Source organism: Homo sapiens, chromosome 9 (assembly GCF_000001405.40).
Source record: "Homo sapiens chromosome 9, GRCh38.p14 Primary Assembly".
Lineage (NCBI taxonomy): Eukaryota > Metazoa > Chordata > Mammalia > Primates > Hominidae > Homo > Homo sapiens.
The window spans coordinates 132,169,042-132,181,579 of record NC_000009.12 but is presented as its reverse complement, the minus strand read 5'-3'; the positions used below and the strand labels follow the sequence as shown (position 1 = coordinate 132,181,579).

The 12,538-nt window shown below is 53.6% G+C and overlaps 1 protein-coding gene across 22 annotated transcripts in view, besides 2 other annotated features; it reads right to left on the bottom strand.

Moving 5' to 3' along the window:
* NTNG2 (netrin G2) overlaps window positions 1-12,538 on the bottom strand; it is an 82,838-nt gene that overhangs the window by 62,947 nt on the left and 7,353 nt on the right. The window lies entirely within an intron of this gene.
* Window positions 10,533-11,290: an enhancer, noted in NCBI's record as "H3K4me1 hESC enhancer chr9:135045677-135046434 (GRCh37/hg19 assembly coordinates)". NCBI's record gives its function as "activates a minimal SCP1, AML or CMV promoter by ChIP-STARR-seq in naive H9 embryonic stem cells {active_cell/tissue: H9 hESC(naive)}" and the evidence as "EXISTENCE:reporter gene assay evidence [ECO:0000049][PMID:30033119]".
* Window positions 11,291-12,048: an enhancer, noted in NCBI's record as "H3K4me1 hESC enhancer chr9:135044919-135045676 (GRCh37/hg19 assembly coordinates)". NCBI's record gives its function as "activates a minimal SCP1, AML or CMV promoter by ChIP-STARR-seq in naive H9 embryonic stem cells {active_cell/tissue: H9 hESC(naive)}" and the evidence as "EXISTENCE:reporter gene assay evidence [ECO:0000049][PMID:30033119]".

Sequence of the window (12,538 nt, the reverse complement as noted above, 5' to 3'; positions counted from 1 at the left end):
ACTTTGGGAGGCTGAGGTGGGCGGATCACTTAAGGTCAGGAGATCAGCCTGGCCAACATGGTGAAACTTTGTCTCTACTAAAAATACAAAAATTAGCCAGGCATGGTGGCAGGTGCCTGTAATCCCAGCTACTTGGGAGGCTGAGGAAGGAGGATTGCTTGAACTTGGGAGGTGGAGGTTGCAGTGAGCCAAGATCATGCCACTGCCCTCCAGCCTGGGTGACAGAGCAAGACTCCGTCTCAAAAAAAAAAAAAAAAGAAAGTGAGCCCAGGAGTTTAAGACCAGCCTGGGCAACATGGCAAAACCCCATCTCTACAAAAATACAAAAATTAGCCAGGCATGGTGGTGCATGCCTGTGATCCCAGGTGCTCAGGAGGCTGAAGTGGGAGGATCACTGGAGCCCAGGAGGTCGAGGCTGCAGTGAGCCAAGACTGCTTCACTGCACTCCAGCCTGGGTGACAGAGTGAGACCCTGTCTCAAAAAAAAGAGAAAGTCCTCAGACAATTGGACCAGACAATTACAGGGAACCAAACCCTGATTTCCCTGAGGGTAGAAGAGCCCCCAGAAGGCAGAACCTGCTCAGGCCAGATGATTGACCGAAAGTGACCACGGATGGACTCAGAGAAATCTGGGAAGTCCCTGAAAGTGTTTGCAACCTTATATGTGTGTGTGTGTGCCTGTGCATGAGCCCAGTGTTTGCACACACGTGTGCACATGCGTGGTTCTAGGAAGAGCACCATGGATTCTCAAGTGGGGCCATGACCATTAAAAGTGAGAAGCTCCCGCTCCAGGGTTTTCTGGGTAGGTTCCCTGCATTTCTCCCCTCTGGGTCTTCCTGGATGCTGGGAGGTTATTGCATCTCTCTATCGTTCTTTCTCTTTCTCTCTCTCTCCGTCTCCCTGAAGCAGAATCTGGGGGTACAGTGGGACTCTGAGGTTGACCTGCAGACCCCCTCATTTTACAGGCAGGAAGTCTATACCCCGAAATGGGAAGAGACTTGCCCGGGGCCACCCAGTTCCTGGCAGCCAGTGCCTGGGGGAGCCCCGTCCCTAGGAGCTGAGCCCCAGGACGGTGCCAGCCCCAGAACTGTGGGCAAAGGTTTTGGATGTTGCCTGGGTGGGGACAGGGGCAGAGACAAGGTGCGTTCTGGATTAACAGCCTTCTCCACTTGCTGCCACCTGCTTTTGGCCATCTCTTGATCCCCCAGAGGGAGGGACACCTCCCAGAAGGACACTGCCCTGTTGCAGGCTGGCAGCAGAGGATGGCCTGCCTTGGTGGAGGGCAGGAGCACCGTGGGCTCATCTCTCATTGGTCTCTTCTTCACCTTTTGCCCGACAGCAGACTTCTGCTTCGGCCAAGGGAAAATGCCTGGTCGTGTTTCATTTCCTTTTATTTCCCCAGCCGACTCTTGGAGTCAAGTGGACGAATGACTTGGGCAGCAGGAGGGAAGTGGAATGAGGGGCTGAAGAGGCCCAAACGGTCCCTGAGAGACCCAAGACAAACTGCCCTGGGACAGAAGGATGCCAGGTCCTTGAAGACAGGCCTGAGTCCCTTTCCACAGGGTGGGCAGTTCTGGAACACTCCAGGGTTAGATTCACAGGGATCCACACACCTGGATATTCCAATACAATTCCCTCCTGCCAACGAGACCCCAAGAGGTCAGGGGACCCCTCTGTGGCCGCCCAGTGAGATCCCAGCCCCGCTAGCTCTCAATTTCAGAACGACCATTCGAACTCCTGTGTGACAGAAGGCAGGACAGGACAGTGACGGAGGCCCTGGAGACCGATCCTAGTTTTGGCTGTGCAAACTTGGGTCAGCATCTCCACCTCCCTGCACCTTCCTCTCCTCATCTGCACTCTGACCTGGCTCCGTCCTGTTACGAGAGGGCAAAAAGCTGCACACATGGGGTGCTTTGCACAGCGTCTTTCTCTGAATTGCCACCGGTGCATGGCACTACGGAAGCACGTGTGCCCCAGTCTCTCACTCATGAGGCTCCCAGGCGTCCAGCACACCACCAAAACCCAGCACCATGATCGCCGGCATTGCTGCGATCGCCAGCATTCCAGCCACCATCCTACCCGGCCTTGCCCTCCTGGCACAGAGCACTCTTTCTGTCCACTTTCTGTGATGCTGCCACCACAGAGAAGACCGCAGCTGGCAGATGGGCTTAGGGGACGCTCTTGATCCCCTCAGGGCCCCCAAGATCTGGCTCTGAGCCATGCCAGTCACCAGTAGTGACACATAGGCGGGAGCTCACCTAAGCAGGCTGGGAAGTAGATGTATCACCCTCACTGACCCTGAAGAGGCAGCTCCGGCCCCCACTGGCTGCAGGTGGCATCCGGGCAGGCATCCTGTGTCCCCCACCAGATGCCATCACGTGAAGTCAGATCCAGGGCACGTGTAGATGGACAGAGACCTGGTTGGGGAGGGCCCCTGTCCTCATGGCTCCAGTCTACCTCTGGGAGAGCCCTTGGCCTGGGGTGGAGCCTCCAGGGTCTGAAGCTCCTCATGGGGGGCTCAAGGAAGTCACTCCAACCCTCTGGGCCTCAGTTTCTCCTTCATAGGAAATGAGAGGGGGGGATGTGCCTCATCAGTAGTTTTTTTTTTTTTTTTTTTTTGAGACCGAGTCTCACTCTGTTGTGCAGGCTGGAGTGCAGTGGCACAGTCTCGGCTCACTGCAACCTCTGCCTCCGCCTCCCAGGTTCAAGAAATTCTTCTGCCTCAGTCTCCCGAGTAGCTGGGACTACAGGTGTGCACCACCACACCCAGCTAATTTTTTTTTTTTTTTTTTTTGTATTTTTAGTAGAGATGGGGTTTCACCATGTCACCCTGGCTGGTTTCAAACTCCTGAGCTCAGACAATCCGCCCGCCTCAGCCTCCCAGAGTGCTAGGATTTACAGGTGTGAGCCACCACACTTGGCCTAATCAGTGGTTTTATATTGTCTTCACAGGAGCCCAGGACTTCCTAGTGGTGGATTGGGGAACTCGGGGCCTGGGGCAGGGTAGGGGGACACCAGCCACCTGCTTCTGGGGTCCCCTTTCCTGGGCGCAGTCAATTTCACTGTAACATGCTTATCGACATTGGGGTTTTTCTGGCCTTAGACAATCCCAGCATGCCTTCTAAGTTGTGTGTCTCTATTTGAAATGATGGATAATTATCTTCAGCATTTATTAAGTACCTGCTACATGCAAGCACTGACTGTGGGACAAGGAAGAGGACAGAACAGTGCCTGGCTGCGTGGGAGAGGGACGGAGGTGGACTGGAGGCTGAGGAGGTATTTGGAGGCCAGAGAGAAGTCACAGCATCTCCTTCCAAGGACCCTGCTCTGAGAATCCAAGTCCACATCCCAGCCTGAAAGAGGGAGAAGAAAATGAGGGTGGGGAGGGGAAGGGGAGGGTAACCATTGGGATTTTTCCCCTCCTCAGGCCTCACTGTGGCCTAGTCATCAAATGACTGGGATCTGAGTTTGAGCCTTGACTTCACTCAGTTTTGGAGTCTCAGTTTCCTCATCTATAAAATGGGCACAACAGGAGAGTAATCGTTTCTACAGTGCAGAATATCCAGGAGGGTTTCATGAAGTAGTGCACATAGAATGCTTGATGCTTCAGAGGAATAGATTTGAGGCCAGGCGCTGTGGCTCACGCCTGTAATCCCAGCACTTTGGGAGGCCGAGGTGGGCAGATCACTTGAGTCCAGGAGTTCGAGATCAGCCTGGCCAAATAGTGAAACCCCATCTCTACTAAAAATACAAAAATTAGCTGGGCGTGCTGGCTAGTGCCTGTAATCCCAGCTGCTTGGGAGGCTGAGGCAGGAGAATCGCTTGAACCCGGGAGGGGGAGGTTGCAGTGAGCTGAGATCGCACCACTGCACTCCAGCCTGGGTGACAGAGCAAGACTCTGACTCCAAAACAAACAAACAAACAAACAAAAAAACCCAGAGATTTGAGAGTCCAGAAGTAAGTGCATAGATTATGCTCAATTGATTTTCGACAAGGTTGCCAAGAACATTTAGTGGGGGAAGAATAGGCTCTTCAACAAATAGTGTTGGGGAAACTGGATCTCCACATGCAAAAGAATAAAGATAGACCTTTTCCCTTACACCAGATACAAAAATTAACTCAAAATGGATCAAAGACCTAGATATAAGAGCTAAAACTATAAAAGTCTTAGAAGAAAATATGGGGGTAAATACTGCTGACCTTGGATTTAGCAGTGGTTTCTTAGATATGACACCAAAAGCACAAGCAACAAAAGAAAAAAATACACACATTGGAGTTCATTAAATTTAAAATAGGCTGGGCGTGGTGGCTCACGCCTGTGGTCCCAGCACTTCGGGAGGCCCAGGCGGGCAGATCGTTTGAGGCCAGGAGTTCGAGACCAGCCTGGGCAACATGGTGAAACCCTGTCTCTACTAAAAACACAAAAATTAGGTGGGTGTGGTGGTGTGTACCTGTAATCCCAGCTACTTGGGAGCTGAGGCAGGAATGATTTGAACCCAGGAGGTGAAGGTTGCAGTGAGCCAAGATCACAACACTGCACTCCAGCCCAGGTGACAGAATGAGACTCTGTCTCAAAACAACACACAACAAAAACAAAAACAAAAAAATGACTAAGAAGCACACTGACATCATTAGCTATCGGGGAAATGCAAATCAAGACCATAATGGGATACTGCCCCACACCCACTAGGCTCATCCTAATAAGACAAAACAAAACCAGAAAATAACAAGTGTTGACAAGGATTCGGAGAAACTGGCATTCTCGTACATTGCTGGTGGGAACGTAAGAGGTGCAGCACCTGTAGAAAACAGTTTGGTGGCTCCCCAAAAAGTTACACATAGAATTACCTTGTGACCCAGAAACTCCACTTTTAGGTAGACAGCCAAGAGAAATGAAGACATACACACATGCAAAAACTGAGACCCAAATGTCCACAGCAGTATCACTCCTAATAGCCAGAAAGCAGAAGCAGCTCAAATGTCCATCAGTTAGGAAACGGATACACAAAATATGGTGTGTCCACAGGATGGCATATTATGCAGCCATAAACAGGAATGAAGCACTGAGTCATGCGACAATGTGGACAAACCTTGGAAACATTTTGCCAGTGAAGGAAGGCCATCACAAAGAGCCTCATATTGTCTGATTCCATTCGTATGAAATGTCTAGCATAGCTAAATTCATGGAGACAAAAAGTAGACGCGTGGTTTTCAGGGGCAGGGGAAGGAGATGGGGAGTAACTAACGGGTGCAGGGTTTTCTATTGGGGCGATGGAAACGTGTTGGGACTAAGTAGAGATGCTGGTTGCACAACATTGTGAATGTACTGAATTGTATATTGTAAAATAGTTTAAAAGGCAAGTTTTATGTTAGACACAATAAGACTTTTTTTTTTTGAGAGATGGGGTCTCACTACATTGCCCAGGCTGGTCTCAAACTCTTGGCCTCAAGTGATCCTCCTGCCTCGGCCTCCCAAAGTGCTGGGGTTATAGGTGTGAGCCACTGCACCCACCAAAACGTTGTTTAACTGGTTAATTTTATGTTATGTGAACTTCACCTGAGTTTTAAAAATGTTTTAAAATCTTTTTTAAAATGATTATTGCTATGCTGAGCCCGGGGTATACATCTAGGACCCCTCTGTCTGCACTGGAGTCCACTGTTTTGTGTGGTTTTGTCTCTGACCAATCTGGATTTCCCTAAACTCCCAGAATGTACCTGGCAATCAGCAGGGAACATTGAATGAACTGGTTAATCTAGCCAAATCTTCCCCGGCTGCTCAGTTGGGGAAACTGAGGCTGGGGGCGTATTCTCGCTCTCTCAGCAGCCAGGGCCTAGCACTCTGACTCCCGGTGGCATTCACTCTGCTCCTATGCACTGCTCCCTCCCCCGCCAGCAGTTGGTGTGTGCTCGGGGAATTAGAAACACATTTTCATATACTTAAGCAAATCTGCTGCTGATGAAAAACAAATCGGATCCTGCAAACCAAAGCCGAACAGACCGGTTCCCGCATCATCTGCCGTTTCTCCTGTTCCTCATGGCCCGGCCCCTCTAGGAAGGAGCCCTGCATCAGTGCTGGCCACAGGGACTCTGGCCAGGTCAGCCCCGGTCAGGGGCCATGGCTCAGCAACCACGTGGTCCAGCCTGGTGAGCTCTGGACCAGCCCCACGGCACAGGGCTTCCATGTTCTGGGTTCCTCTCAATTGCCCCTCAATTGCCCTCCTGCCCCTCTTGCTCCTTCAGAGCCTGTGGCCTAATCCTTCCTAACCCTAGCGAGCGGTCAGGAGCCAGACACAGGAAGGCTGAACCCCAGCTCCTACACTCAGTGGGCTCTGAGAAGTCTCAGAATATTCACCGGTCAGATGCACAGTAACAGACCTACAGGGGCTTGGATGAGGTGGGCAGGGGGAGTGGACTGTCTCCTCTCTGTCACCCACACACTTTCCCCTCGAATCACCTGGCCCCCTTCCCTGCGTCTCTGCACGAACCATTCCTTCTGCCCACATCCTCACTCTCCTGACCCTTCCCATCCTGCAAGACCCACTTCTGAGCCCACAGCCTGTGCCTCTGGCTGTGGGTTTGGCCTATGGGGTCCTCTTCTGTCCCTCAAGCTAAATTCTAGAATTAAAAAGGATAAAAATAAAAATACACTTTTTTTTTTTGAGACAGAGTCTTGCTCTGTCGCCCAGGCTGGAGTGCAGTGGGACGATCTCAGTTCACTACAAACCCCACCTCCCAGGTTCAAGTGATTCTCTTGCCTCAGACTCCCAAGTAGCTGGGATTACAGGCGCGCGCCACCACACCCGGCTAATTTTTGTATTTTTAGTAGAGACGGGGTTTCCCCATGTTGGCCAGGCTGTTCTTGAACTCCTGACCTCAGGTGATCCGCCCACCTCAGCCTCTCACAGAGCTGGGATTACAGGCTTGAGCCACCGTGCACCCGGCCCTTTTTTTGAGCATTCCTTTTGTGCTGGCTCCCAGCTGAGGTCATCACACGCCTGGTCTCGTCTTATTTGTACACACGTCCTTCGAGGTTGTGTCCAGCGCCATGCCCAGTTTCAGATGAGAAAACCAAGGCTCAGGGTCACAAGGGACTTATCCCAAGTCCCACATCCCAGAAGTGCGGGATGCCCCCGGGCCCCATCTCCTCCCTCCAGAAGCCCAAGTTCTCATCCGCAGCATGGTGCGGCCTGCCTGTCTGTCCGTCCGTCCATCTGTCCGTCTAATCTGCAGCATGGTTCGACCTGTCTGTCTGTCCGTCCGTCCGTCCGTCTCATCCGCAGCATGGTGCGGCCTGCCTGTCTGTCCGTCTGTCCATCCATCCATCTCATCCACAGCATGGTGCGGCCTGCCTGTCTGTCCGTCCGTCCATCTGTCCGTCTAATCTGCAGCATGGTTCGACCTGCCTGTCCGTCCGTCCGTCTCATCCGCAGCATGGTGCGGCCTGCCTATCTGTCCGTCTGTCCATCTCATCCGCAGCATGGTGCGGCCTGCCTATCTGTCCGTCTGTCCGTCTGTCCATCTCATCCGCAGCATGGTGTGGCCTGCCTGCCTGTCCGTCCATCCGTCCGTCTCATCCGTAGCATGGTTCGACCTGCCTGCCTGTCTGTTCGTCTGTCCATCCATCTCATCCGCAGCATGGTGCTCCTGCCTGTCTGTCCATCTGTCCGTCCGTCCGTCCATCTCATCCGCAGCATGGTGCGGCCTGCCTGTCTGTCCGTCTGTCCATCCATCCATCTCATCCGCAGCATGGTGTGGCCTGCCTGTCTGTCCGTCCGTCCGTCTCATCCGCAGTATGGTTCGACCTGCCTGCCTCTCCGTTCGTCCGTCCATCCATCTCATCCGCAGCATGGTGCTCCTGCCTGTCTGTCCGTCTGTCCATCCATCCGTCTCATCCGCAGCATGGTGCGGCCTGCCTGTCTGTCCGTTCGTCTGTCCATCCATCCACTGCCTGCCCCATCGCAGGTGGGATTGGAGGCAGCTTGTCATTATACCCACAGTAAATGAGAAAAAGGGAAATGGATTAAACATCAGAGTTAGGAAGCATAGAGGAAGACAGCCTGGGAAGGTGGGGATGCGCAGACCGGAAAGGTCTGGGGGTCTCTAAGTCTCTGACATTCTTTGGAAAGATGTCCCATCTGGGCCCTTTCACACAGCTGCCTGCCTTCCACGGGGTGTCTGGACCCAACCTCATTCCCTCAAGGGAAGTCAGAAGCAAGGGTCTCACTCCCTGGGCCCCGGGCCTCGGTCTTCTCATTGTCTACTGCCCAGGAGGGAGACTTCACTGTGCAACAAGATGTCATTTCACAGAACTATTCTTGTCCTAGGCTGGGCCCTGCCTCGGGCATTTCAAGAGACTGAGTGGCTTTAACGGCTGGTGCAGCTCAGGTGCCGAAGTCACTTGCAACTGACTTAAGGACAGAGTTGTGCAAACCTCCCGGCTTCATCCAATCGCAAATCCCACAGAACAGGGACTGCAGTGGAGAGAAGCAGGGGCTTCCAGGGTCTCCTCTGTCCTGACCCAAACCCCAGTTTTTCCTTCAAGACTCAGCCCTGGCCAAGTGCAGTGGCTCACTCCTGTAATCCCAGCACTTTGGGAGGCTGAGGTGGGTGGATCACGAGGTCAGGAGATCGAGACCATCCTGGCTAACACAGTGAAACCCCGTCTCTACTAAAAATACAAAAAATTAGCCTGGCGTGGTGGCAGGTGCCTGTAGTCCCAGCTACTGGGGAGGCTGAGGCAGGAGAATGGCGTGAACCCAGGAGGCAGAGCTTGCAGCGAGCCGAGATTGCGCCGCTGCACTCCAGCCTGGGCGACAGAGCGAGACTTTGACTCCAAAAAAAAAAAAAAAAAAAAAAAATACAGCCCTGATCCTGCCTCCTCTGAGAAGCGTTCCTGGATCACACCATGCTTCCTCCCATGCATCCATTCATTCAGGAAATGCTTACTGGGCACTGATCAAGTCCAGAGGGAGGTGCTGGGGATGCAAAGATAGCGAGACAGCCCTGCCTTTGAGGAGCTCACAGTCCAGGGGAAAAGCAGACATCTAAAGTTACAGAATTGGTCCCAACAGCCAGCACGCAGTGAGCAACTACTATGTGCCAAGCACCGTGCTCATGACAGTCTCCTATGCACGTTCTATTAATAGCTCCCATTGAGAAACTAAGGTTCAGAGAGGTTAGGTCTCACATCAGAGATCACACAGCACGGGATTCTAAACTCTCCATTCCTAGGGCCAGAACTCTTCACTGATAGGCCAGTCAGTAAGCAGGATGATGACCAAATGAGGGCCTCCTCACCCCACTGGGCAAAGGAGTCAGAGAAGGCCTCCTGGAGGAGGAGGTAGGGTCCAACCTGAACCTTGAAAAAGGAGCCAGGGTTATCCAGGTAGAAGCGGAAGCCTTGAAAAGAAAGGAAGGAGGGGGCAGGCATTCGGGTGGAGGAGACAGCACGGGCCAAGGCTGGAGCGCCCGGAGAGTTCATGGGGAGGGGCACGCCCTCCTCCTTCCCCAGCTCCTATCATATCAGGCCCCGGTGTCACCATTTGTGGTTAGCTGGGTATTGTCTTCAATGTCTGTAGTGTTTTTCTCTTGTTTTTCACTTAATTTATCTCTAGTCATCTCACTTTCCCATCACAACTGTGCCTGGCATGAGGTCATACCTGGAAACATCTGCCGACTGGAGGGTTGTGACGGCGAGAGGAGGGAGGCTGGGGCCAGAAACACAGAGGGGGAAGGAGGCCAGAGCCATCGGGCCGGTCAGCTCTGCATTGTTGGATGGAAACATTTCATGATCCTCAAGGTCTGGCAGGAGGCAGAGTGTCTGTGACCTTGATTCTGCATGTGGTGTTCAATGTCACAGTGAGGAGTGGCTCAAGGACTCCAGGACCTGCCTGCTGTCTGCATTCAACAGCCCAGCAGACCCCCTGGGGGAGGAATGGAACCATTTGCTCTGCAGCTGGGTAAACTGAGGCACAGAGAAGCTAAAGCAGGTTCTAACTGAGTAAGATGTGTGTTCAAAGATGCACGTTCACAGCCTGCCCTTGGCTTTCCTGTCCACCAAAGCCAAGGTGCCTCTGTATGCTGGAGACTCCAACATGGCTGAAATTTGAATGTTCACCCATGTCAATGTAGAAATGTCAAGCTTATCAAGATTGGATAAACAATAATATTCAAGCCTCACACTAGAAAAGAACTTACAGTCTCTGCCAAGCACCTTCTGTTATGTTGTGAGAGGCGTTTCCTCTCCCAGGAAGTCGGTGAGGTGGGCAAGGCAGTGAAGATCATACCCCTTTTACAGATAGGGAAACTGAGGCTTGGAGAATTTGAATGACTCACCTCAGACCACCCAGCCCCCAAGTGACAACACTGGGATGTGAGCTCAGGGCTTCAGATTCTAGGCCTGTAGCTCTTGTCAGGAGGTAGTGCTGCCTCTCTCTGGAACCTTCCACTGGCTCCTGCTCAGAAGCACAGACCCCCCGCCTTGGCAAGCAAGGCCCGCATCTGGGAATCTCGGCTCCCAGCTCCATCCCTCCATTCCCAGGACCCCCTAGTGCTCTCCTGTTGGCTCCTGTCTCCCCTCAGCAATGCCTCTCCTCTTAACCTGCACAGACCCCATGGGACCCACAGACCTCTGGCCCCTTCGTCAACGGCAGGCTTCATCCACCATCCTGGACCAACCCCACCCCAGCGCTCCAGAGACTTCCTGTTAAAAGGCAGAGTCTGGCTCGGCAGTTGTGGGGCAGGGTCTGGGATTCTGCACCTCTATCAAGGTGAGGTCAGCGCTGCTGCACTGAGGCGATTGCTCTGAGTGGGAGTGGCAGGATTCCCTTGGCACCCTGCTGCCTGGGCAGTAGTTCTCTCTCTCTCTCTCACCTGCTCGTCAGCTCACCCCTGAGTCTCGGGTGGCTAGTTTTTGTCTCCAAGGCACAAAGGAAGGGTTTCCCCCTTCCTCTCACGGGGACCACAGGTGGCTGGCGGGAGACGTGTCTTGCAGAGCGCTAAGGGGCACCTCCCAATGCCAGTCACGCCCTCCCCATCTCCAAGGGTCCTGCAAGCAGCAGTTGCCCTGTGAGGGGCTGAGATGCCTTTGCCCGTCGCCCTTCCTGCCTCCTTCTCGGCCTGCAGCCTTGCTGGGCTGACCTCAGGGGCAGGCCCTGGGAATGTGGGTGGGGGCCGCCTCTCTTCTCCCACAGCCCTCATTGCAATTTTGTCCTCGCCCAAGAATCCTCTGTTGAGAGCTCATCCCTATTAATTCTCATTGTGCATTTAGAGCCAATAGGTTTTTATTTATTCATTTATCTTGTCTTTCAGCCTCCTCCCCTTCCTTGCAAGGCTGGAATTTACAATTCAGTTCTCAGGTGGCCTTGCTGAAGGACAGGAAGCCTGGGAAAGAGAGAGGGTCTGCACCCCGCATCTGAAAAGGCCGTCCGCCCCTGGGTCCCTCCTGTACCCTCGGAGTGCAGCCGGGCTTGCGCTCCCGTGGGCTGGATGTTGGGACACACGTAGCACCTGCCACTGAAGGGGCGAAGGGGAGCAAGGACCCATGGGCGATGGCAAGGCTAAGGGGGCAGTGGGCATCTGGCCGCCATTAGGGCGCCCCCTGGTGGCTGGTTAACAACAGCTGCTGGGGCTGCAGGCGAGGAAGCTCCCCCAGCCTGCATCTTCCACATGCTGCCAGAGACTAGCAATACAAGGCGTGGCGTCCCCAAGGCTGGGGAGAGGCAAAGGAGCCCGGGGAAGAAGCAAAGCCAGGAAAATCACCGAGGCCATAATCACAACAGTGATAAGCTGGTGACTAGTATTGCACACTGAGTACCTACTATGTGTCCGCACGTACCACGGCAGCACGGCCGGGCTGTGCCGTCCCGCCAGCACCGTGACACTCCTACATTATGGTTTCTACTGGGCAGAGGAAGACAGTGAAACTCAGAGAGGTCAGAAGTGGAGAGAGGGGAGGCTGTGCCGCCTGGTGGGTGGGCATGGGCCTTGGCTACAGGCAGTTCCCAGCCTGCCTTCTCAACGGAGTGATGTTGGCAGGATTTAGGCAACACTTTCTATTCCCAAAAATGAGATTAGAGTAGGACCTACCTCAGAGCATCCTACTGCCCGGACCCTCCCAGGGGAAGCCACAATAAACTGTGGCATCAGGGTTTGAACCCAGATCTATCTAGAAGTAACCACCCCCTCCAAAAACCACCCCTCCAAAAGCCAGCCCTCCAAAGCCAGCCCTCCAAAAGCCAGCCCTGCAAAAGGCTGCCGTCCACCTGCCACGGCGGCCTCCCCGTCCTCATCGGACACACATTTGTAATCAAAGCAGAGCTGGATGGCAGCCCATGATGAAATATTTAAGTCCATCACACAGGTGGCGAGACGCCGAGGACTTGCCCATGTGGGAGATTGTGGAGGGACTGTTCTTTCTCCCCTGCCTTCCCCACCTGTCTGCCCAGGAGAGGAGCAGGGGATGGGGATGGGAGAGAGCACTCTTCTAGACCCCAGGGCTTGAGGCTGGCTGCCTGGGATGAGGCTCTGCCGGCACTGGG